General features: G+C 41.1%; 1 protein-coding gene and 1 long non-coding RNA gene across 54 annotated transcripts in view; one reads left to right on the top strand and one right to left on the bottom strand.

Moving 5' to 3' along the window:
- The window catches only part of NRXN3 (neurexin 3), a 1,697,919-nt gene that overhangs the window by 1,142,153 nt on the left and 528,820 nt on the right, over positions 1-26,946 (bottom strand). For all 52 annotated transcript variants that reach the window (NR_158973.1, NR_158975.1, NR_158974.1 and 49 more), the window contains 2 exons: positions 16,484-16,922; positions 11,000-11,383 (listed from right to left, as the gene is read on the bottom strand). Coding sequence is in view for 46 of the 52 variants with exons in the window: in XM_011537363.2 (XP_011535665.1) it covers positions 11,000-11,383; positions 16,484-16,922 (823 nt within the window). In the remaining 6 variants the exon portion in view is untranslated. The remainder of the gene's footprint in view (positions 1-10,999; positions 11,384-16,483; positions 16,923-26,946) is intronic.
- On the top strand, positions 16,179-22,524 carry NRXN3-AS2 (NRXN3 antisense RNA 2). Of its 2 annotated transcripts, NR_188165.1 has the most exons (3): positions 16,179-17,357; positions 21,229-21,306; positions 22,290-22,524. It is a non-coding gene; the product is annotated as an NRXN3 antisense RNA 2 (long non-coding RNA). The 2 variants fall into 2 exon arrangements; NR_188166.1 differs by lacking the exon at positions 21,229-21,306 and having other exon boundaries at positions 16,179-16,323.

Below are 26,946 nucleotides of genomic sequence, written 5' to 3'. Positions count from 1 at the left end.
AAGATTTTTAGACTACTTAGTAATATCCAAAAATGGAATGGCTGCTTCATGAAGAGGTGAGAATCCTTGTTACTGAGAGTAGTAAAGTATATCGATCACAGAAGAGAGGACTCAGGAGTGGAAGACCCAGAGATCACCTCAACGTATTCTTGGGTGACCTTGAGCAAGTTACTTAACCTATCCTTAACCCCAATTCCTCAGATATAAATTAAGAATGAAAATAGCACATATCTTATGTAGTTATTGCAAAGATTAAATAAGCTAACCACTGCTAAGCATTTAGTACATCATATGTAGATAAGAGTACATATTCCTATAGACTCTACACAGCAATTTAGGAATTTTGTCCAGGGGTATATATGCATCAGATATTGAGTTAGACTCAAAAACCTCAGAGGTCCTTTCCAACTTGAAAATATGGATGTGTAAACTCCGATAAAAGAGTCACCCCCCACAATCCCTAATAAATATTTTATCATCTATACAGACAACAGAACTGTTATTCATCATTTTTTTCTCCTTCTACCTCTACTCTCAATATAGCCTTGACTTTGTGGATTTCCACAGAAGGAGGCTCCACCTTATAGTGGCTGAAGATGCTAGGTTGCTTGTGAAAGTTTCATTACAGACTGAGCCATGGGACAAAGAGATCAGAGACAACTAACTGGCTGGAGATGAGATCCTGCTGAGCAACAGTGAGCTACTACAGGAATGATGACATTAGGAATCAGCTGCTATCTTCAGACCCAGAAAGGATGCTTTCCAGGATGGGGAGAATTCAACTAAACAAACATCAGAGCAGTTATCTTTTCTTTACAACATTGCTGATGGAGATAAACAATGTGCCAGCCTTAGCTGATGTCAGTATGTGGCCCCAGGTGACTGAATGAAAACAGTATTTAAATACCAGTGAGCCACAGCAGGAGGTTTCAAACAAGGGGCCTGCAGAGAAGATTGAAATCTGAAATGCACAGGGCTTTCTTACCCTGCAGAAACAAAGAGGGGGAACATGCTAATCGCACAGATTTCATGAGGCTTCTGATTTACTGGCCTCTTAGAAGGCTCTGTTGGGGTTTGTCATTTTGATAAGAGTGTCTTGCTATAAAGGTTAAACATGCTAAGAAGCATGAAATGATCTTCTCCAAGAAAGACTGCATCTACCTGGCAGAAAAATAGCTGTCCAGTAGCCCACAGAAGGGGGTCTTTCAAGAGCCACTCATATTGAAGGGTCCAGCCTCAAGTTCCAGATGTACTTGTCACCCCAGTATCCTCTCTGTTGGGCTGGGTTATTTGTTGGGGTAAGATGGGATAAGTGATGAAACAGAAAGAGAAGAGAAATATATACATCTCTTCCCTCCACATTTCCTCCCTCTAAATCAGTTGCCAACATTTCAAATAAAATTTATCAGTTAGAACAAATTACTGGAGATTTACCAAATGGCTTTGCTATAACGGCATGACTACTGCCTAGAAGATCATGAGACATAAAAGTATATCTTCACAAATATGCACAGATGCACAGATGCATGTATATTTCTTTGAAAAAGCCAATAAATAGGAACCAAAACGAGGGACTAAGAACATTCTATTCTATTCTATTGACCACTCATTTCCCACCTGGAGGCCTCAGTTTCTTCATCTAAAATTGGGGGTGGGTGGTTTTGCTAGATAGTATCTGAGCATCTATTCTACTGGCAAGATAAGTAATTACACAACTCTTTATACTCTGCCTGGTTTTTGTTGGGTCAGTCAAGTTTTAGGTTTTAAGTTTGGGACTTCTATTCTTGATTACTACATGTTTGCTGCTTTTTCCTCTTAACAGTCCTTGGTGGGATTAAAACAGAACCCATGATAAAACAGAAAACTTCTCAGAAGCTAGAGGAAAACTATACACATGTGCTCTAGGCACAGACACATACGTAATACTCAGTATCGGGTGTCATCACTATAAATCCCAAATGAGAGACCAGAATAGGGAGAAGTTCAAAATATGATTTTTCTATCTCCAAGGAAAAAAAATCTTTTAGCTTAATTTCAAATATGGCCAGTTTTACAAGACAAAGAGAGACAAACTACAACTCATTGTTTCTACCAAACATATGCCAAAGCTTGGTTGAGATCACTACAGTCATAACAGATCATTTTAATGCAATTCTTTAAAACCCGGGATTACAAAAGAGTCACATTTTAATTCCAAATACACCATTTAAAGTATGAAGAAAGGCATGCTTTGGTATGTTCTCTTATGGTCCAACCTTCTCAATTTTAAACTCTAACCTGTATCATATGCCTTAAACACAGAAATAAGACCTGGGTCATTTCCACCACACAAGAAAAAAAAAAATGGAGTAAAAACACCAGCCAGATCATTTTTTCAATTCTTGCATTGCTAAACTCCAGATTCTGAAAGGGGAATATTAACTTTGTTATCTATGTGAGCACATTATACACTTTGATTCTACAATGGAGCCTCACAATAAGCCAGTTAAACACCCACTGCCAATATTGTCATGGCAAATATTGAAACGGAGGCACAGAGAGAAGGTGAGAAGGTAAATACATATGTTCCGAGTGGGACCAAAGCAGGTGTAGGTTTGACTCTCAGCTACATCTGCTTAATGGTCACCACAGTCCTCCCCACTCCTCCTAAGAATCTCCCACTGATTCAAGATGGCTCAGAAGAAAGGAAGAAGCAAAAGGCTTCCATGGCCAAACCCTTGCTCTAATTCAATTTCAGCTATTCTTTAGCTGTGTGTAATTGATTACTAACTAAGTCCTATTGACATTGCCCCTTTTTTATTTATCAGATATGTTCGAAAACTCGACCTCCACTCTTGTTTCTTCAGGGAGGGCTCTTATCTCTCATTCCTGAATTAATACCAATGCAAACTGGACTATTATATGCTGACCTGTTGGTCTCCTGTCTTCTGTATTCAATTTATCTTCTGCCTCAGTGATCTGACCTGGTTATCCCATTGTTAAACGTGGTATGCTTCCTATAAGATAATGCCTAAACTTGTTGGGAGAGCAAAGTGTTTCATGGCTGGCTGGCCCTGTCACCCCTACAGCTGCATCTTCGAAAACTTCCCCTCAAATCCCTCCTCCTCACTCTTTAAGCCCTACATGCCACCCACATGGAAAACTTACTGTTTATTGAAGTCACCTTTATACATCTGTTCCTTCTGCCTGGAATTTTTTTTCCCCTGCCTGGTCTGCCGGGGAGATCTTTGATTCTCCACCAAGCCTCAGCTCTAGTGGCACCAGTCTGTGATGCCTTCCATGATATTTCTCCCCACACTCATGTCCCAATTGCTCAGATACCAGAATATAATAGCACATTTATGAGAACCACAGTCAATGCCTTTGTGTCCCAAGTGCTCAACACAGTCCCTGGCACGTAGCACTCAGTAGGTATTCAGAATGAATTGGGTGGCCCTTAATTTCTTCACGTAGAAAGTGAGGATAATAATATGCAGTCTGCAGAGTGGATGTGAGGGTTAAATGACTCAGTATATATTAAGAACCAAACATAGAGAAGGCACATCATTTTTTTCAATAAATAGTAGGTCTTTTAACTTTCCTTTCTTCTTAATCCAAACTGTAGTGAAGAAGGATTCATCTCTCTGTGAAAAGAAACATGAAGCCAGAGATGCTAGAAAAGCCTGCAACAATCCCCTTGTGTTGTGTTTCAAAGCACTTGTTTCTCATAATTTAGCAGCATTTCAATTATTGCATTATTATGGGCAGATGTCTGCTGGCAGTTAAGCTGCTTTGAGCACACACAGTAATAAAGATACACAGTGGCAATGTAAATGGCCACCGAGTCCCTGCATTTGACAGCACTGCAGCCAGCAGCAGGTGTGCCGTTGGTTCATAAGCAGCTGTCACACACTGCACCAAAGTGCTGACCCTCACATTCTCAGGTTGAATGCAGGTGTCGATTCTTAAAAGATCTCCAAAGTCCCCAGCCTGTCCTTCTTAGACCTCGAAACCTTCAAGACTCTAGAATAACCGGAATCTACAATCCTGATACTCTTTTTTAGAGTAACAGGACCAGCTGTGATCAGAGGTAGCTCAGACTCTCACCTGGTGGAATAACTCTCAGCTAGGGTTCATGTACTATGGAAAAGCTTTCTGCAATCATAAAACCCTGTGCTTGTGGAAAGGGAAACTTGCAGAACCGGAAGTTAAAAAAAAAAAGAGGCTGAATCTGTGCTCTGCTGGTGGCTGTCACCAGGGATACATTTGTATGACTTAAGCAACAACAGAAAAGCAAAAAAACAAACAAAAAAAAAAGGAGACAGTTTGATTTATGTAAATGAATTGCACATTTCTTGGGAAGCCCCTTTCTCAGATACATGTCATTATCTATCAAAAAGAGTAAACAATGGACCAAAGAGGAAACAGCCTTTTAATGCTCTTTAGAAATCTAAGGTTCGATTCGTTAATCCATCAATTAAAACTCAGGTCTGATGGACCTGAAGTGTACTCAGTACACCAAGGTATTCATTTTCTTGGATGAATGAATCAGGGAGATGAAAATTTGATTGCAGTGCTGATATAACTAAACCGAGTCCTAATCCAGACAGTTCTGCGGATTGTAAGGAACAAGGACTCACATTGCTGCCCTTCATTCACCTTTCTCTCTCTCCTTGGGATAAGAGAAAGCATTGCCAAGCTGATGACATTTGAGAATCAGAGTTTTAGAGTTGAAAAGGGCCTGAGAGAGCGTGAAACCCAACTGCCTCATTTTATTCTTGCAGAAAAGAAAGGTCAGAGGATCCATCTCCAGGTCAGACATTTAAATAAAGGATCTGGAAACCTACGAGGGATGAGGGCACAGCCATAACGCAGATTCCCCTCCTCAATAGCACTGAGACCAGTGAAAGCAACCACCATTATTATATTTGACCTTGGAAGCCCAGGTTTCTCTTATTCCCACACCAGTGAGATAGTCTGAGCAAGACCTCAGTGAATCCAGAACTAATTATAAAATGGTATAAAATGTGCGTCATATCTTGCTTTCTAATTGTTATCTTTTTCTTTCCTGTGATTATTTCCTGAATCATTGACACTGGTAGATTGCATTAGAGTTTGCAGATTATGTCTCTATCCCCTCTGCTGTGCTGTGAGCTCGTGGAGGACAGAAAGTGTGTCTTCTCTTAATATAAATGTATATCCTCATCAGCTCACAAAGCCTGACACAGAAAAGAGCTAAATACCTGTTTATGGAATCTCTATGTTAATGCTGAAGTTAATTCCAAAGAAGCATCATAGCTTCATTTCCTACAGTTTTCTGGACCAAAAGCCACTGAAACTAAAGCTATTTAAGATAGACTGTGTTGAGAATATAGAAATTTTAATAATTTAACTTTAATATTCTAAAGAAGACACAAAATGAATTTGGATTTTTCATAATCATATACTACATGCTATATAGTTGTCCAAAGAAGTGATAAGTATGGTTTGATCTAAAATGATAGAGATGGAAGAGAGAGTGGACAGATGCAGGATGGGTTTATAAGAGAAATGGATGAGACTTGCTGAGATAGATTGAATATCATAGGACAAAAATAAAAGAAAATGCCCAAGGACAGTAGGGATGCCATTTACCAAGAAGGGGAAAAACTGAAAGTAAAAGAAGTCTGGGGCAGGAAGGAAGACCTCAAGATTTCTGCTTTTCAATGATATGATTAAGCTGTTCCATGATACGATTAAGTCCAACAGGACTTCACAGGGTGGCAGGTGCTCTTCCAGTATATTCAAGAATTTCAACCTATCTGATTAGAATTAAGTAGCTATGTATTAAGTAGCTATTAATTAAGTAGCTTAAGTTAATCTATCAGATATCCAAATGGAGATGTCAAGTAGACAACTAGGGACATAAGAATCTGAGATTTCAGGGAGAGTTCTAGGCAAGAGACCTCAATTTGGAAGTCACTAACATATAGATGACCTTTAATATCGTGGCAAAGAATAAGAGCACCAAGGGAACCGTGCAGGCCAAGAAGAGACCTAAAACAGAAACCCTGGAGCCCTCCCACATTTAATAACCATCTAGTATATGTATATAACAGTATATATGAAGGAAAGGCTGCTCAATGTAATGGAAAGCCTGATGCATTAGGAATCAGGAATCATAAATTCTAACCATTCTATAGCAATTCCAAGCTAAACTGATGTTGACTTAACTTCTCAGGGCTTCCAATTCCTCATTTACCAAAACAGGAATGAGGTGCAGGTAACACTAACGGTATCTGCCAACCCTACTATTTTCACTATTTTCTTTTCTTTTTCTTGAGACGGAGTCACTCTGTCACCCAGGCTGGAGTGCAACTGCATGATCTTGGCTCACTGCAACCTCCACCTCCCAGATTCAAGTGATTCTCATGCCTCAGCCTCCTGAGTAGCTGGGATTGCAGGCATGCACCACCAAGCCCAGCTAATTTTTGTATTTTTAGTAGAGACGGGGTTTTGCCATGTTGGACAGGCTGGTCTTGAACTCCTGACCTCAGGTGACCCACCCACCTCAGCCTCCCAAAGTGCTGGGATTACAGGCATGAGCCACCACTCCTGGCCTCTGCCAACCCTACTATTTTCTTATGACATGATTTCCATGTGGCATATATGTAGCATTTCAATGACACAATCCAGCCTCATCGAAGATTGGTATCTCACCCTTTCCAGGCAGAATCATTTGCTTTTGCTGCTGCTGCTGCTACCCAGGATCACATAGGAGGTTGCCTAAAAAGGGAGGCCCCGAATGGAGAGGAGCAGCAGCTGCTGCCTGCATGCCTTTCCCACTGGAACAAGAGTCACTGGAGAGAAGTAAAAATACTTGTATTCTTCGTGTTCAGCTGGTGCATATGTCAGATAAATGTTGTACTGTAGGTTATTTTTCTTGACATTGGGATGAACTTGTGCTGAGCTTTATTTACTTTCTTGCCAAATGAATGCCAGGATATGTTTAGAAAAAGCCATTCAGGGAAGAGCATAGATTCAGCAATGGTCTAAAATTTAAGCTCCATGATGTACAAATAAATCAAACCCTTGGCTTTGCCTTGCTGGAACTTGATGCTCACCAATTGAACTAGACAGTTTGGCTATACCAGCAAAGATAAGATGTTGTCCCAGGTCAAGTGATCATAGCTCCTTAAGTAGGACTAACTCCAGAGCAGGCTAAAGACCAGCTAGACTGTTTCCTCTGTCCAACAGGACTTCACTGGATGGTAGGTGGTATTCTATGATACTAAAGAATTTCAACCTATCTGATTAGAATTAAGTAGTTAAAACAGGCCTTTGCTGTTTAGGTCATGGAGACGTCTCTCACATCACTATGAATAGCCAACAAAAATAATTAGAGCTAAACAGTTGGGATAGGTAGAGACAGCTACATCTTAGAATAGCAACAGATTATGCTGAAAAAAATCTAAATACAATATCAATCAAGCCTATTTTTAGACATCAAGATTTAGAGTAGCTCATCTTCACAGGCAGAAGAAGCACTCTTATGAGGGTAGAAGCAGGAGTTATCCAATTTTACTGTAAGAGAAACATACACATGCAAATTAATCTTAGTATCATATACACACTTTCTACTTCCCAGGCCTTATTCTCTGACTCTCTTATACTTGGCTGATGACTTTGATCCAGGAATTGTCTCTTAGATTTATCTGTTGCTGACTTTGCTTGGGTCATTGGTCTATTTTGATGTAGTGTCTAGTGTCTGACCTGGGCCATGAAAACTCCAGTTTTCAGCATTCCATCTATGCTTTCTTCAGTGTATATACACAAGTGCTTCTTTCTAACACTCCCATTCATGTGTGGGCCCAGTTATACCAATGGACTCACCCCCAAGGAAGTTCCAGTAGAGAACACAGTTTGAGCTACTGGGACACACAGCCTTAAGAATTGTCTTAGGCTTAACACATTTAGTACAAATGATCCATTCTAGACTTAGACTTGATTCTAGAATGCTTCTACATAATAAAAATTAGAGAGAGAATGGCAAACTGAGTGATTGTGTTGATGTTGTTATGGTGAATGGGGCAGGGCTCCTTAATCCGAAAAGTATTCCATTCCTGTATAGAGAGAATACCCAATACATTTTCTTCATTCTTCTTCAGAAGTGCCTAGAGTGGATGCCTAAAGTTAGAAATAGGAAATCTAAAATCCAAGAAAGCTTGGATCCCCTTCTCTGGGCCATCACTCCTTCCATATAGAAGTGGCCATTCTTGCCTGTTTGTCCTACTGTTTCCCTATAGACATCTGCCATAACATTAACCACATGTTAAACATTTCTCACATTTTCCTTTGCTTCCTGGGAGGACTATACACCCCTTGTTCACAAGTAAAGGCCGTGTCAAGTTGGTGTTTCTGTTTTGGATTTTTTGTTTGTTGCATTTCCAACCTCAAACATAGTGCCTGGAACACACTAGGGCTTCAATATATGTCAACTTCCTGCAGGAAAAATGAACAAAAGATACTCAAAAGAGTCTCCACTAAGGAATCAGTTTCCATAAAGAAAAACAATGTCATTGGGAATCTCAACTTTTCTTTGCTAGCAGAGAAGAGTCCTATAATTTTTACACTCCACTGATTCATTCTGAACATGGTGTCAGGAACAATCCAGGGGCAAAAAACAATTAGTAGGGGAACAAAACAATCAGTTGAACCGTCTGGGATTTGAGCGATGTATAGATCAAATATCTTAAATTTGCTAAGCTTCTTCTCATTTGGCCAGAATGGATGACTCTTGGCTGCACTGCACCAAGAATAATTGTCCCTCATATATCCCCAATCAGCTGCCTTTTAATGACTAGTCAGAAGTGACAATGTAAAAGGTGCAGTGACTTTCACTGTTCTTGGCAAGTTTTGGACCAACTCCCGTTGATTCACCCTTGAAATGGGTGAGCTCAGAGACACCTTGTACAGCTGGCTACAGTCACTGTGTCCTGCCTCTGACAATCACAAGGCCCTTGCTTGAGTTAAGAGGAGACCCAAGAAGAAGTGAGATGTCTGAGATGACCTTTATACTGTCTTCATAGACAACAGAAGATCTGCAACACTTTGGCAAACACCAAAACTGTCTCACGCATCTCAGAGACAAAAATGACCTTTCTATCTTCCCCAACCAGCACCAGGGTAGGTTACCCTACAAACATACTTGGAAAGAGCCCAGGCACCTGACAGACTGACCAGCCCCTTGTGGCCTATTCCTGTCCCAGATGAGTATTTCCTTATCATAGCTCCTGTTCTGGTGGTTGCTGACTTGAAAATTCAGTGAATTTTAATTTTAATTCCATATGCTCCAAGAAAGCTCTCTTTTCTTCCTTTGTCCTCATGTCCTGTATTCTATTTCTGATCTGACTGTAAAAAGGGTTTGTAGTTCTCTTGAAATATACCTTAGCTAGTAACACAGTTGGCCCCACAGTTGGCCTTACAAAAAAACAGGCCTTGAAAACTGGTCATTCAGCCCTTGTTCTAGACCTGGCCCAGGATCCATCCACATCACCTATCTTCTGATAGGCCACTGGCCACTGGTCTGTAGAGATGAGACCCTGCAGGTCTCTCCTCAAAACGTTCTTCTGTCTCTGAATCTCCATGTCCTTCTTTTCTGTCCACTAACATGCTACTGTCTTACATCATCTTATTACAGCTTATTATATAGATGTCTCAACTCCTCAGCTAAATAAATGATAATCTTCTTGAGGGCAAGAACTATACAGGTACAGCATTCTCAAAGCCCTAGAGCTATACCCTTAGCAAAAACTTGATCCTGATGCAAATTATCCTTTCATTGAATATAGAAGTTGACAGCCTGCGGATATTCAGCTTGATTCTGTGTGCTTGGCATATAAAAAAATAGACCAAGCTGCAATCTGCAAATAGCTTGACTGGAATCTCCTTGTGTTGATGTTGTCCCTCTTCTTGCCTTTATCTATGCCCTTTACTTAAACTGTAAATCGGGTGCAAATGTCAGATACTGAAGTGGTGAACGAAAAGGGAATCCTCCCAGCATTCTGGCCCAGTCTACAGGGTCAGCCCTCATCTCTTTGGTCCCCTCTCATGCCCCTCCTCCCCACCCCAACAGTTCCCCAATTCTATTCTGGACATTTTTCAGAAGGGAACAAAGCATCCAGTCCATTCTGGACTTTGTTCAGGTCCTCAACTGTCAGGGTTGCTCACTATACAGTGAACCTGTATGGTATGTTAGGTCTCCTTCCAAGGGCCTCCCAAGCTTCTCTATACCTTCTCTTTAATGATGTTGATGAGAATAATTATGACTATAATAATCACTAACATTAAATGCTCGAGAACCTATTAACTCATTTAATCATCATCAGTATCTTGTGAGGTAGGTACCTGATTTCTATTTTACAAATGAGGAAGTCAAGTTTCAAAGATATTGACTACCATGATGAAATTCCCATCACTGCATGAGGGCCAGATTTCTCACCCAGTCTGGCCCCAGAGTTTATGTTCTTAACTAATACATCACTCTGCCTCTTATAAAACTCACCATGTTTGTAATCAGTTATTTAATGGCTAAATATTCCACTAGGCAGCAAGCTCCATAAAAACAGCGATGTACCTGTCTTGTTCAACATTGTATTTCTAAAGCCTAACCCAGGAGTTAGCTTGTAGAAAGCACTAAAGAATCACAAGTCAAATGAATGAATAAAACAGCCAGTTGGCTAGGCCCCCTGGAGTCCCAAAAGAGAATTATTTACCCTCTCTAAATAGAAAATATTTAATCAAAAAGTATCATAATCACAGTAATATTTATTATAAAGCTTCCCTTTCTGCAACTCAGTCTTAGCCAAACAAACCCAAGCATTCAGAACTAGAAAGGGTGCAATCTGGAAATCAGTAAACCCAAAAACTCTTGGAAGAAAGAAAGTGCAGGTAGGTGCGAAGGCTTGGGCTGCCCAGGGATCCAACTGTAACACATCAGCCCCACTCAGGCCCTCACTTGCCATCCTCTAGGCCGACTCACCCCTTTCGCAGGTTCTTCCCCAGTATCCGGTGCCGGTGCAGTCGCAGATGAAGCGGTTCCAGCCGTCCTTGCACACAGCATTATTCTTGCAGGGGTAGCTGTCACACTGCTTGGCACTCATCCGTGAACAGGAGGACTTGACACCCGCAGCATTCTGCATCTCTGCCAGCTGTCGAATGTTCTTGCTGCGCCCATCAATGAATAGGTCGCGGATGCAGCCCACGTAGCCATAGTTGAGCATGGCAGTCCACAGCTCGGTGGGGAGAATAAGGCCAGCACGGTTCTCCGGCAGCCCTCCCAGGTACATGTCTCCTTCCAGGTCCAGGATCTCGCTCTCCCCACTGGCGGTGAATGGCGTGCGCCTGCTGTTCACTGATATAGTACCTGGGGTGGGAAGACAGATCTCAGGTGAGTCTGCCAGTTGCTTAACCAAATGTAAGAAACCTAACAGGTGAGTGCTGAGCCCAGCCATTGGCTGGCCAGGAGAGAACAATGTAAGCAAGAGAATTAGATGTTACAAGACAATGGAAAAGACAATGTAGGCCGTTTGGTTCCAATCTCTGCCAGCTAAGTCAAGCTGGCCCTTAGGAAGACCCAGAAAAATCTCAGTGACCTAACATCTAGTGTATCTTTTCTCTACTTAACCCTCTTGGCTGAGACCATACAGGTTGAGAGCAGCACAGTTCCTGCCTGTATTTAAATTCCAGCTCTAATATGTATGAGCTGTATAACCGTGAAGAAGTGACTTCACCTTCCTGTGCCTCAGTTTCCTCATTTGTAAAATGGGAAAATAACTGTCCCCACCTCATAGGTTGGTGTGATTAAATGAGTGAATATATGCAAAGTGCTTTTAAGAGTGACTGAGACAGAATGAGGCCTCCATATGTTTGCCTGAGTTTTCTTCAAGGGCTCACCAACCCCCAAAAGATGGAACTTCCTCTTCTGTCTCTCTCTCCATGCACTGGTACTCTCTAGATTGGGCATTCACTACCAGCCCTGCCAGTGAATATTTTGAGCATTCCCTGTGACACATTTTAACTGAAACATTATTCCTTATTTAATCATTTAATAAATGTGTATGGAAGACCTATTCTGTCTCTGGTATAGTTCTAGGCACTGAGATGAACTTGATAGGCATGTCTCTCCTCTCATTGAGCAGATGTTCCAGAACAGAGGGACAAAAAATAAATGATATGGTTTGGCTGTGTTCCCACCCAAATCTTATCTTGAATTGCCATTCCCATAATCCCTGCATGTTGTGGGACAGACCTGGTGGGAAGTGAATTGAATTATGGGGACATTACCTCCATGTTGTTCTCATGATAGTGAGTGAGTTCTCACAAGATCTGATGGTTTTATAAGTATCTGGCATTTCTCTGGCTGGCACTGCACTTCTCTCTCTCCTGCTGCCATATGAAGAAGGACGTGTTTGCTTCTCCTTCCACCATGATTGTAAGTGTCCTGAGGCCTCCCCAGCCATGCTGAATAGTGAGTCAATTAAACATCTTTCCTTTATAAATTATCCAGTCTTGGGTTTGTCTTTATTAGCAGCATGAGAACAGACTAATACAATAAGTAACCCAATAAATGAAATAAATTAGCTAAGGGCAGTTGCTATGAAGAGAGTAAAATGGGTGGTGTGCTAGTTACTCATGCATTCTACTTTAAAATGTAGAGTCACTGAAGGTCTCTCTAGGCAGGTAAAAGTGAAGCTGAAACCAGAATGTTGAGAAGGATTCAGCCATGCAAAGTCCAGGAGAGAGAGCATGCCAGGCAGAGGGGATGGCACCTACAAAGGCCCTGAGGTAGGCAGATGTGTGGCTAGAATAGAGAAGGCAAGAGGGGGTGAGCAGGAGATCAAGTCAGAGAGCTAAGCAGACCCAGGAAGGGGTTGGAGTTTGGACAGCATCAAATGAGATTGTAGAAGATGAAACCCCACAAGCTAACCTGGGACCTTGAGAGCAGGGATTCTAGTCCTAAATGTCTTTATGACCCTAGGCCAATCCCTGAACCACTTTATGGCTCAATTTCCCGAACTGGAAAATTAAGGAAATGGACTAGGTGATATCTAAACTTCCTGTCAGAAATTTTAAAATAGGTATTTATTATTCTTGATGTGCTTTATTGGTATCAAGATAAATGGGTCATGCCATCCATCAGTCAGCCTTCACCTCTGTCTGATTCTCAGTTTCTTCAGTTATGAAGGGTATATAACCTGAAGGGCTGCGAAGATCAGACGTGATCAAGAATGAAACATACACTTTAAAGTACAAAGTCGGCTGGGTGTGGTGGCTCACGCCTGTAATCCCAGCACTTTGGGAGGCTGAGGCGGGCAGATCACTTGAGGTCAGGAGTTCAAGACCAACCTGGCCAACATGGTGAAACCCCATCTTTACTAAAAATACAAAAATTAGCCAGGTGTGGTGGCAGGCACCTGTAATCCCAGCTACTCGAGAGGTTGAGGCAGGAGAATTCCTTGGACCCGGGAGGTGGGGATTGCAGAGAGCTGAGATCGTGCCACTGCACTCCAAGCTGGGTGGCAGAGTGAGACTAGCTCTCAAGAAATTTAATTAATTAATTAACTAAAGTTAAAAACAATAAATAAAGTGCAAAGTCAACACAAGAGTAGAAGCATAGAAAGGATATTAAGGGGAATTTAACAATCTGCTTCACTACTCCCTCCTAGAAGTTTACTCCTAGAGAAATATGCTTTGCCTTTTGTTTTTCAATCTTTCAAACACTTATATAACAACAATAATGTCCTGGCTACCATTTTAACTATTTTATGTGCATTTTTGGACTTGATCCTCAAAACAATATTGGGAGGTAGGAGTTATTATTTTCTCTATCTTACAAAGGAGGAAGTTGAGGTCTCTATCTCTTACTATTTTCTCTGTTGCATAGTTTTCTTTCTTTACCCCTCACAGGTCCACAGGGCTAATCTGATCACCAACTAAAATGGGGAGACATCTATTGCCAAGTAAAGACAATACTAGAATCAATTTAAATTTTAGAGCCTTAAATACAACCTGAGGAAAATCTGTTCTCTGAATGTGTGACCATAACAGTTTTGAATGCACTTAACAAGTTCTAAGACTGACTTGCCCAAGTGAGGAGTGATCATAAAAGTTTTTCTAGATCACTGTTTGTTATATTATTCTTCAAGATTATCAGGGAAGGAGGCACCACATTTAGATACACTTGTTTTTATAACTATCCTTTAGTATAGATTTATAATCTAAAACAAGTTACCAGAAAACATTCTCATGAAAAAATGAAAGTTTAACAGACTGTATTAAAATTTTAGATTATACTGCTTTCATGGGACAATTGTTTGTTTACTCAGTAAGTTTTTAATAGGCTTTGATCAAATTCATCAGTAGTTCAAAAAACTGGCCAGGCCTGGCACAGTGGCTTACTCCTGTAATCCCAGCACTTTGGGAGGCCGAGATGGGTTGATCATCTGAGGTCAGGAGTTCGAGATTGGCCTGGCCAACATGGTGAAACCCTGTCTCTACTAAATAGACAAAAATTAGCTGGGCTTGGTGGAGGGTGCCTGTAATCCCAGCTACTTGGGAGGTAAGGCAGGAGAATCACTTGAACCTGGAAGGTAGAGTTTGCAGTGAGCCGAGACTGCGCCATTGCACTCCAGCCTGGGCAGCAAGAGAGAAACTCTGTCTCAAAAAAAAAAAAAAAAAAAAAAAAGAGAAAAGAATTAGCCAGTGCTTTAGCTCCCAGGTATGAAATTTAAGACTTCTGAAATTCAAACATATTTGTTGAAGTTGGGTCCACTGGTGGTTTAAACAACAAAAACTGTTCCCCTTTGTTCAAAATTGTTTGAAAGAAAAATTTGTATTAGGAACAGACAGAAATGAACAAATGGCAATTTTGTGTGTTTTAGCCTGCCTGAGACACGGGTAAGGTAACTTTTATGCTGTGCCAAGGTCTAGGTTAGTCAGACACAAAACCCGTCCACCGTGACCTAACCTCAGAGATCCCAAACACATGCTCTTAAAAACCAACAGCAGTGTTTTCTTTATAATTCTGGAACAGCTTTCTGACTCTGCTCTTGCTGTCATTTTACTGAAAAGCAGAGAAGGAGAAAGAAAAGAAGAAGAAGAAGTATGGGGGGTGTGGCGGGATTTAGCCTCCAAAGAAATTAATTTTTTGGGTGTTTTTCTGTGTAAAAGGGTAGACACTATTCATTCTTGCTTAACGAGCACATTTAATTTGAAGGCTCTTGGTTCTGATCAGATTTCAGACAACCAGTAAAGATTCCTACTGGGCAATAAAATAGCCAGGGCTGCAATCTGCCACCCATCTGCCCTCTGCAAAGAACCCATCCAGCTCTTCCTAAGGGCAATATTGCTATCTCTGCCGTCAGCCTAGCTTTGGAATTATGCAGAAAAGCCAACCCACCAAAGCTCAGTCACTCCCAGTTTCAGCCTTTTGGGGAACTTATTGCTCTCTCTTACTGGCCAAATGTACCTAGAAAGAAAATATCCAAATAGAGACTTTTTAATGTTCATCAGGAAAGTGAATCTCTATAAATATGGCACATGAAGCCAAGACCCTTCTTGAGTACATCCTACCTAAATGGAGAATCAGGAAATGAGTCTGAAATGGCAAATGCTCTAATTACTGCTCTTGGGAAAATGCCCTTTCTGATAGCACAGAATGTGACCTTCATTGCCACATGGTCCATAGAAAGCTAGGCAGACTGTCCAGGCATTCAAAAACCCCTGACTATTTTGCCCCACCCCCACCCCCACTTTGTTACTATTCCATAGTAGCTATGTACTGCCTGGGGCTAGCTTGTTTGATCTGCAGCTGCAGAAACAAAGCCATTTAAACAAAATGTAAAAGGTTATGAAGAGGAAGAGAGAGTTAGTGAGGTCTGAACAAAGAGTGAAATATAGGCTTTTACACCAAAGGAAGGCTTTAAATTGAATGTATCTTCAGGAAAAATCAATTTGCCTTTTCCTTTCTTGTCATAATTTCTCCATGCAACATGACTCTTGCCAATTACTGAAGGGTGTATTGTTGCATAAATTCTTGCACAGTGAAGTTTATCCTACAAAATAATCACATAATGCAGCATCTGTGATGTCACAATCGGTTTCCATGGTGATGAGGAAAAAGAGAAGCAAAGAATGGGGCAATGGGGGCGGATCACACCAGTGACATGAGAGTTGCTCTGGTAGCAGTGGAAATGCTACTTGTAAAACCATCCTTAGCTCCAGGATCGTAGAGCTATCACTGAGACAATTGCGCAGTGAGTGACAAGAGAGATAAGCGGAGAATGTGAGCCATCTATGAGACAGGTATCTTTTCAGAAACATAATTTTACAACAGCCATTAAAGAGAGTAGCAAAAGAATCAACAAGCATGCAAGGGTGAAAATTAAGAAACATAAAGCCAAAAAACAAACTGAGAAGCTACAGCTTTCGTCTAGTCTCAGTCACACATCCTGCCTCTTCCTACCTGATCTGCCATCTCGCTGAATGTCCACATGGTACCATTCCCCATCATTGGCTTTCTTCTGAGTGGCTTTCACTTTGATGGTGCCAGAGCCCATGTCAAGCAGCAAGTACAGGTTGCCATCGAGGAGTTCCACGGCAAAGAAGTCTACTTTTGTATTCTTCTGGCTCCGAGCATCCTTCCTCTCTTGGGGCTTTCCATGAGTGAAGAGGATCAGGCCATTGGGCTCTGTGGTGCGGAAGTCAAAGGAGATGGAGCCCATACGTTTAGTGTTCCACTTGGGCAAGCTGATGTAAGCCTCTGGGGTCTCAAAGTTGATGGGGTCCAGTGTGGCCACATTCTCACACTTAAACACAACTTCGCCATAGATTTTCATCTTGGTGTCCGCAATCCGGGCCAGGCGAGACAGCTCCAGACGGATGTCATTATTCTTATAAACAACCTGTCAAAAGCCAAACAAAAGTGCCATGTGAATCAATCTTGCAAACAGTATCCATCCATCACTCACTGGGCACCTGGAAAAATGACCCAAAAAGAGGCTTCAGGACATAGCCCAAAACAACATGAGAAACAATGAGACACAGGAACCAAAAAGGTATCTGAAGAAACATCTGATGTGCACACAAGCTCCAAAAAAGCCTCTATATTTCTACAGAATTTCTTTTGTCTCCTGGCCAATTTCTTGTGTTGTCAGAAAGTTATACAACATAAGCTTGCAAATAAAAATCAAGAGAGATCGAGTTGCATGGATTCACATACTTCATACAAAGTGATTTACTGAAGCACCCTTAGTAAAATACCAGAAACAACCTAAATGACCATCAATAGCAGATGGCACAGCGTTATAATGGAATATTAGGCAGGCCTTGCAAACAAGGTATTGCTTTTGGTTTTGATGTGGAAGCTCTCCAGGTCACATTGTTAAGTGAAATTGTCAAGGAACAGGATAGAGGGTGCATTATGTTATCATTGTGTAAAAGTGTGGGGGCGTGGGGGCATTATATGTATATATGCTCCAGTAAGCATAAAGTCTCTTTGGAACTATAAAATTGTCATTGGGGAGTATATTTGCGGGATTAATATTCTGGAGTGGGAGGGTGACTTACTTTTCACTGTGCCCTCTTACAGTGTTAGACTTTTTTTCAACCATGTGGATATATTACTTGAAAGAAAAGAGTAAGTGTTAAAAGCTGGTGGGGACAGAGGTCTGTTTTTGTTTTTATTTTTTGCACATTGCATGTGCCCTCTGTACAGTGGTAGAATGAGACACCCTGAAGCCCTATTTCAGCCAGTCAGTCAAGGACATTGATTTAGTTGAGAGTCTGATTTTACAAAGAATACTGAACCAGATACTAATTCACCTTGCAAGGGGGTCCAGCAGAGCTTTCTGCCTCCATGCCCTACCCAAGGTTAGTGTACACTTCTGCAAAGCCATGGCCACTGTCCTGCAGAGTGGGTAGGTAGGTGGAGAACGTGAGGATGGCAGTTAAAAAAATCTGTTATGACTGTCTAACAGCCACTATGGAAAACAGTGTGGAGATCCCTTAAAGAACTAAAAGTAGAACTACCATTTGATCCAGCAATCCCACTACTGGGTATCTACCCAGAGGAAAAGAAGTCATTATAAGAAAAAGATACTTGCACAGGCATGTGTATAGCAGCACAATTTCCAATTGCAAAATTGTGGAACCAACCCAAACGTTCATCAATCAACAAGTGGATCAAGAAAATGTGATATATATATATGAATACTACTCAGCCATAAAAAGGAATGAATTAATGGCATTTGCAGTGACCTGGATAAGACTGGAAACTATTATTCTAAGTGAAGTAACTCAGGAATGGAAAACCGAACATTGTATGTTCTCACTGATATGTGGGAGCTAAGCTATGAAGACGCAAAGGCATAAGAATGATACATGGACTTTGGGGACTTGAGGGGAAGGGTGTGATGAGGGTGAGGAATAAAAGACTACAAATAGGGTGCAGTGTATACTGCTTGGGTGATGAGTGCACCAAAATCGCACAAATAACCACTTAAGAACTTATTCATGTAACCAAACACCACCTGAACCCCAATAACCTATGGGAAAAAAATCTGTTATGACTTTCTAAACCAGGTATAATCCATCTAAAAGCAGAAATTAATCTTTCTCCATGAAATTAGAATTTCAAAAAAGTTTTACTCTTATTTGAACTGAAATTTGATACAGTACCCTGGAATGGTTTTTGGCGCTCTGATCTCTGAGCAATGTCGTATCCATAAAAACTTAATAAGCAGAAAACAATGGAAGGGAAATAGACAAGGATCTGAGTATTGAGCGTCCCAACTATTTTCCTATTTTCTTTATATTACCTTATTCAAATTCTAAGTCAGGACCCAGATTTAGGTTTGAATTCCACATTTACTACTTACAAGCTATGTGACTTTGGCAAAGTAAATTTTCTGAGTCTGTTTCCTCTCCTGAAATTGGGAACATAGGAATAAACAAACTATTTATTTTGTAATAATAAAATGATTTAAAACATGTGAAGCACTTAGGAATGCAATATCATAAGGGCACAAAAGTCGCAGCTATTTGGAGGGTTATTGTTAATCTCATTTCGCTATTTCCACAGCCCTGAAAAGGTTGCATTATCATCTCCAAAACAACAATGGCTAATTTCTAAAATAAGCCTCATCTGTCCATATCTGTGAGACAAAGTTAATTGGATGGGTCACTCCAGCACATATCATATAATCCCCAATATTTAAATGTAGAATTAGTTCCCATCTCTCATCACCAGGAGAGAATCAAGCAAAGCTGTTTGCATTCTAATGGATATTACAAGAGTGATATATAACTATGGCGAAGCATTGAAAATGACTCACTATTATGTAACCTTGACCGTGGACCTAACCATAGTCAATAACATTGAAAATAATGATACTAACACTTATTAAGCACCTACCACCAGGCACCATGGTAAGGATTTAACACCTCTCCATCCCATTAGATACAGACAACACCCATTTGAGATACCTGTAATCATTGCCTTATTTTACAGATGCAGAAACAGACACAGAGAGCAGTTAGGGAACCGGCCCACAGGCACACAGCTGATAAGTGGCAGAGCAGGACTTGAACCTAGGCATTTGGGCCCCAGGGTCCATATGCTCAGAACCAGGCCCCACTAGCAGCACCTGTGAGGCTTATCTTTAACATTACATGGAAAGTCATGCATGCTCAACTTCACAATTCAAAAGCTGAATTTTTCATTTTAGCTAAACTGGGCTGACCATGTGCAAAGGGAAATATTGCAGGATCCTCAGGCAATCACTCAAGTGAGTAAACCAGAAAAGAAATCATAAAAGTTTAATGAGTGTCAGCTTCTCCTTTCTAACCTTCACTATTATACCTTAGCATGTGAGAACTCTTTGTCATAAACAAACTTTGGCTTTTTCTGCATTTGGGTTAAATGCCTGTGACTAGAGTTCCTAGTAAAGGTTAATTATTAATGTATAACAATAGGTCATCCCAAAGGGACAGAAGGAGGTTTGGCTCCATGGAACAATAAATAGAAAGAGAGATCAGGCATTGCTACAGCAGGCTGGGGACAGAATAAAAAGGAGGGAAAAAAAAGCCTTTTAACAAGATACAAGAGCAGTGAAGAGGAACTCTTCTGTGAGAAGGGTACCTAACTGAGACTGGGAGAGAAGGTGAATAGCCGGAATGAAGATTTCTGAAGACATAGGTAAGAGAAGCAAGGGCCAGAAACTGGCCAGACAGAGATAACCAGACTTCTCTCAAAGGCTCTTTGAGGGTGAGTGCTCTATCTACTCCATGGCCCTGAAATTACCTGTCTATTTATATGGAGTTTTCACTGTTGTGAATAAAAAGCCAACACCACTCTCACTGACAGCTGAATAACCCTTCTGAGTCCCATTTTATTTATTCCAAAGGTAAGAGCCTCGATATCTGTTCCACAAACTGTCCCTCTTTCCCAGCTCACAGGGCTGTTGTCAAGATCAAGTGGGATGTTAGACATAGTAGGACACAGACAATTCTAAACCGGCACACAAACCTAGGAAGAAATAATCCTATATCTTCATCTCCCATGGTGTTGGGGTTCTGTTGGAAATGGATAGGGTCCTGAATTGAGGTTCTGTGAAGGTTTATCTACCAAGAGGAAAAGGACAGGAGGGCAAGGGACTTGTAGCCCAGTGATGCTCAACTGGGACTCTCCATTGTTAATATCTTCACCTTCCCCACCTGCTCTGTGCAGAACCACAGCCACAGCCACGCAGAAGTGTACTGGCACCCTGGGTCAGCATGGAGGCAGGAAACCCTGCTGGACCCCCTTACAAGGCAAATTATTGTCTGGTACAATGTTCTCTGTAAAATCAGACTGTCAACTAAATGAATGTCCCCAAATGGCTGGCTGAAATAGGAAGAGATGTGGCATCAAATGACAGAAAGCAGCCTTGGCTGACAAGTCGCCTCGGTGAGGAGCAATTAAAGACAAAGTAGAAACGGCTCCCCATGGGGGAAGATGTCACACAGACTGGGAGGTACAGAAGCAGAGTCACAAACAGTGACAAGCTGGTCTTACTATCCCACCCATGGGCTTGTAAAGACTGCTGTTTGGACACGTGACTCATGCTTAGGAGACCAGACAGTAAAACAGCTGAGGACAGAATCTCAAAGTTAAGACAAAGTCTCTCAGGAAAAAAATATACTTATATTCCTCCATGATCTTTAATACAGAGACACACAGGAGCAATACCAGGAGTAAAGCAAGCTGAGAGCCGGAACAATATAAGAAAAGAGCCTACCATGTGCCAGGTACTTTGCAAACACTGTTTTATATCATACACAATAAGCAAATGAAATAGGTAGCATTAGCCCCATTTTACAGACATGGAGTTCAGCAGGGATACATACTTGCCCAAGATCATGTAGGCTATTAAATGCATAAACAGAACTTGAGCCCTTATCTCTCTGACTGCACTGGGGTAAGGATATGCTCCAGAGAGGGCAATTTCTAGGCCCTCCTGTACCCCATGCCTACACACAAAGCAGAAACCCCTTAGTCACGCACAAAAACCACACCCAAGTCCATCTTGATGTGCAAAGCCCTTCCCCTCCTGCACAATCCATTTCTAATGGATGTCTATACCTCCCCGCTTAGGGGTCACCTCAAAGGTTTCTGTATGAACCCAGGTGTTATTGCTTCTGCATTCTTGTTCACTGGGTTTCCTAGGCTGCAGTGCCTTTCTCTTCTCTCCAGCCTCTCTAAATGGTGCTCCTTCCCTAGGATTTTCAAATCCATTTGAGAATTTCCCTGGCTACTCTGGTACTTGGTGATCCCACAATCTGATAAATCAGAATCCTTTTATTACCTACCAATGAGGAAGCTGTCTGCCCTCTTGCCCAACCCACTTGATTGGAAAAAGAGAGAGTATTCTAACCCTACATGATGCACTTATTACTTCAAATTCTTCCAAGGTATTTGAGTTAGAAGGCAGGTGCATGAGAATAAACTAAGAATTAGAGACAGTCCCCACTCAGAGAAGTATTTTCTTCTCTCCCTCTGCCATCTTATCCCAGGCCACTCTGTTCTCAACTTTCTGAGAATGTGTTTCCACGTGTTCTGTTGTAAATGCCCCATCCCTATGCACTCCAGCAAGGGAACTAGAAAGAATGAGGGGATGTGGGCATGTGCCCTGGAGTGCCCAGATGGCTTCTTGGCACTATTTCTCCTGACAAGGAATAGGAGGTTTACCACCTGGTCTTTCTTTTCTCTTGTTTTTAAACTATCTGCATAGAGGACAACTTCAATAAAAAACACCAGGTCAGCGGATAAGACCATGTCACTCACAGGTTTGTGACTTGAGGCCTGAGCACCAATGATCCACTCCACATCAGTGGAGAATGTTGGAAAGTAAGGACGCTGTGGACATTTTCTGAAGTTGGAGAAATGGAATGGTGGAGAAGCCAGTATTGGGGTACCATGAGTGGAGCAGAGTTGACTACAAATCTCAATAAAGCTTTTCAACTGTATACCTAACTGCAAAGTCATTTACTCACAACAAGCAAAAAAATAAATATATACTTATCTCCCTTCCAAATTTAATCCTTTGACAATAGATAATAATGAAATGAACTTATTCTCTTCAGCTTCCAGGATGATACAGCTTCTAGATAAAACTTCTGGGCTAATCTTATTATTGCATAACGTTCCTACTCAGGGTAAAAGAATGACTAAGAAGTGTTGTGAAAGAATCTTGCTTCTGGGGTCTCCACGGAATCACACATCCCACTGTCTCTGCCCCACTTCCCTTCTCTCCCTCAGGCAGCTGATGACTTGGGCCTGCTGTGATTTCTCCCTCCGCTAAACTGTCCACTCCACTCACTCATCACTTAAAACTCTCTCAACTTTGTTATCTTTGTACAGCACAAGTCTTGTCTTTTCAATAGATTTCGAACACCTTATGAGCAAGAAATATGAATTACACCTTTTAACATCTGAAATTGCTCCTAACTATATAGGTGCTTAACAAATGTTCATATCTTTATTAAATTAGATGTTAGATTGAAGTAGCAGTTTAGTGCCATGGTCATGATTATGGCCTTTGGAGACACCCTAACCAGGGTTTGGACACCTTACCAACTGTGTTACATTGGGCACGATATTTAACTTGTCTCAGCCTATGTTCTTATACTGTAGAATGTAGATAATATCTTACCACATAGGACTGTAAGAAATAAAGGAGATGATGGTCCCACATATAAAAGTACTTCACATAGTTTCTGACCCTTGATAAGCACTCAATAAGTGATGGCGATCACTATTAATTTTGTTATTTACTGAGAAAAGCCAGAATAAATCAACAGACAGTATAGCATGGAGTCATTAAGAAGGAAAGATTCAGGCTGGGCAAAGGGGCTTTCGCCTGTAATCCCAGAACTTTGGGAGGCCAAGTCAGGTGGATCACTTGAGGCCAGGAGTTCAAGACCAGCATGGCCAACATGGTGAAACCCCATCTCTACTAAAAATACAGAAATTAGCAGGTATGGTGCGGTATGCCTGTAATCCCAGCTACTCGGGATCCTGCAGTGGGAGAATCACTTGAACTCCGGAGGTGGAGGTTGCAGTGAGCTGATATCGCACCACTACACTCCAGCCTGGGTGACAGACTGAGACTCCATCTCAAAAAAAATAAGAAAAGAAAAAGAAAGATTCTCTCTTGAGGATAACTTCTAAGCCAATTGTCAAGCCTAAGAGGCAGGGCTATAACAAAAGAAAAACTCTGGATTTAATAAACTATAAAATCATAACTTTATATATTTATTTATAAGTTATATATTATTTATTTATGAACTTCATATATGTATTTATAAATTACATATACTTATTTATAAATTGTATATACTTAATTGCCTAATGTGACATTTATGAGATGCACACACACCAAACACTTGCTCAGATTTAGATTCATATTCATGAACATCATTTTTCATCACAGGATGCCATTGATCAAACTCTAACAGTGAAGTCCAAGCACAAATGTGGCAGCAGATGGTCCTCTTAGATCCCAAAGTCTGAAAAACCTAATATCTGGCATGACCAGAGTCACATCTGCATCTCTGGTCTTGCTAACAGGGGTCAGTAAACTAACTCCACCTGCTGAGATACAGCTGACATCCAACCTGGGGCTCATAGTCCCAACTGCTGCATCGCATGGATGCCACCATTTTCATGCTTTATATTTTGTTAACAGTGGTCAGGATCTGCCAAAGACAAAAACACTAAGCACCAAAAATAGAAAACTGGAACTGAGGTTCAGACTTGCAAGGCAGGAGCCAGAAAATGTCCAAGTTCTAGAGCTCAAAATAAAAGTTAAAAAGACTCCAGATAAAGTTGAAATCAATAGTACAATGTTGACAGTTAATTAATTTTTAAAAATTCTATGTGATCCAACACTCTATGGGTCAAACAAAGCGTATCTGAAAGCTAGATTTCACCAGATGGGGCCACCATCTCTGATCTATGGCCCTATTTGTAAGAGAGTGGCCAAGAAAATATAAAAGGGACATATGGCAAGCTGGAGTAGAAGAAAAGATCCAGGAAACTGACGTTGAAGTAGCAAAATCCTTAGACCATACCTCATTCTGAAAAAAGCCATTCAGTTATCTAGGCATGCAGGCAGGCCAGCCAGAAAAAGAGAGACAGCTGTAAGCCAGTCAGTTTTTCTGCCCTCATGAATCACAGAGCCATGAGTGCAAGCCCAAAAGCCCCGCTGATAATGCGAGTCATTACTACCGGTGCTCAAGTTAAGCGTAGGCTTTAACAAGTATTTATTTGATGGATTCTTTGTGAAAGGAAAATGATCCTATAGGTTTATGCCCAGTTACAGATGTGAACAGTAAGAAGTTAAGCAAGATTTCTGACCCTTTGCCTTATTGAATGCTCCATGCCTGTTCAGAGTGGAGGTCTCAATTTTATTCTTCTCAAGAAGAACTTTCTTAGGACTTTTATTCCACTTAAATGGCTGATCAGGAACAGGCTGCAATGTATTTGTGTATCTTATAGAAAAAATTTCCAGGCCGGGCGCAGTGGCTCACGCCTGTAATCCCAACACTTTGGGAGGCCGAGGCAGGTGGATAACAAGGTCAGGAGTTCAAGACCAGGCTGGCCAAGATGGTGAAACCCCGTCCCTACTAAAAGTACAAAAATTAGCCAGGCATGGTGGTGGATGCCTGTAATCCCAGCTACTCGGGAGGCTGAAGCAGGAGAATCGCTTGAACCCAGGTGGCAGAGATTGTGCCACTGCATTCCAGCCTGGGTGACAGAGTGAGACTCCATCTCAAAAAAAAAGAAAGAAAGAAAGAAAAAGAAAAAGTTTCCAGTCAATCAAGTTTCTAGAGCATTAAGGATACTATAAAGGCTCAGTCTATCACAGTCTATCACAGGCTTGCTCTTTCAAGCTTTATCATTTTCACAGAGTCCACTAAGCTTCTACTAAGTTAACAAATAAGAACTTGACATAGACAGACCCAGGCAGAGACATAAGACATGAACTGGCAAGTAGGGGGTGTAGTTCTCCGAGATAGAACTAGTCAATGGGTAGTTTTAAAAGTTTCTAGCTGCCAGTTAATCTTTTCAGACACAACTGGATAGCAGCTCTCCCATTTCTTAGAGCCATGTTGGCAAATATGTGCCTCTACCCTCCTTTCCCAGCAGATGGCATTCATCATCAATAGACATATTTCTATTCTACTTCCACTCAACCCAGATGAAGCCTCAGAATCCTCTCAAGGTAGTGCTCCAGGAGGTTAACTACCAGTCACTGAGAGCCAGAAATTGAGATGAACCTATTCTCCACTTTTCTTATCCTCTAACGCAAAAGCCAAGTTAATATGAATTGATTAGCTATATTAGAATATTAGAAACAAAATCCCATGTAAATGTACTAAATAACCACTGTATCTTTAGCTCTAGACCATGGAGGATAGACCATGAGACACAATTGCTGCCAACAACATGCACAGAGAAAGTTGAAGGACAATTAAGGGGGGAATATTTTTTCATATCAAAATTGGAGTGAGATATATTTGTCATGTCAATTAATGTACAAGGACCTATGACCATAAACTTGATTGAAACTGTACTTCTGTGCCCTCTGGTTGCTAGGGATGGCACTGTTTCGATCCTCTAAACTAAGCGTCATAAACACATGGGTTGTGTGTTTCTGATGTGATAACCAATGCATTCCCTGTATTTAGCAAAGTGTGTGGCACATAGTAGAAGCTCAATAAATACACACTCTCATTTCCTGCATTTTCTTAGGCACTAAACAAACCTACCCAGAGAATGCCTACATTTCCTTCTGTTTTAGAATATTTGATGAGGGCACCAACTCCAGTAGAGTAAAAGTTACATGTCACAAAGCAGAGGAATTAAGATGAGGTGAATAGGTGGTACCTGATTATGAAAAGCTCTAAAAATATATACATTATGCAATTAGGGGAAAAAGGTAACTATTAGAGTAGAAAGGAAGCCTTAAGCAGTTTGATTAAAAAGATGACGAAATTTAAAACATACCTTGCTGAACCACTAGGAAACTACTGTTATTTTTATTCCGAGGACTAGAAATGACTCTAATCGTCTCACTATTAACATGTCTGGGAATAACATGTCATTCTCTGCTTAAAATTGTTCGATGGTTCTTTATCAACTTCAGAATTAAATGCAAACTTTGAAGCATTATATAAAAACCTCTTCCTGATCTAGTCCTCACTTCATTGTTACCAGCCTTGACAAAAGTTCAGCAGGTCCTCCAATTTATCATTCCAGGGATAAATCTTGCCTGGATTCTCTACCTGGATAACTACTATTCGCCACTTGAAGCACAGTTTAGGCATCACCTCTTTTTAGAAACCTTCTTCAATATTTCTACCCACTCCATTCCCACCCACAGC

Source organism: Homo sapiens, chromosome 14 (assembly GCF_000001405.40).
Source record: "Homo sapiens chromosome 14, GRCh38.p14 Primary Assembly".
In the NCBI taxonomy this organism is placed as follows: Eukaryota; Metazoa; Chordata; class Mammalia; order Primates; family Hominidae; genus Homo; species Homo sapiens.
This window is presented reverse-complemented; position numbering and strand designations above follow the sequence as displayed.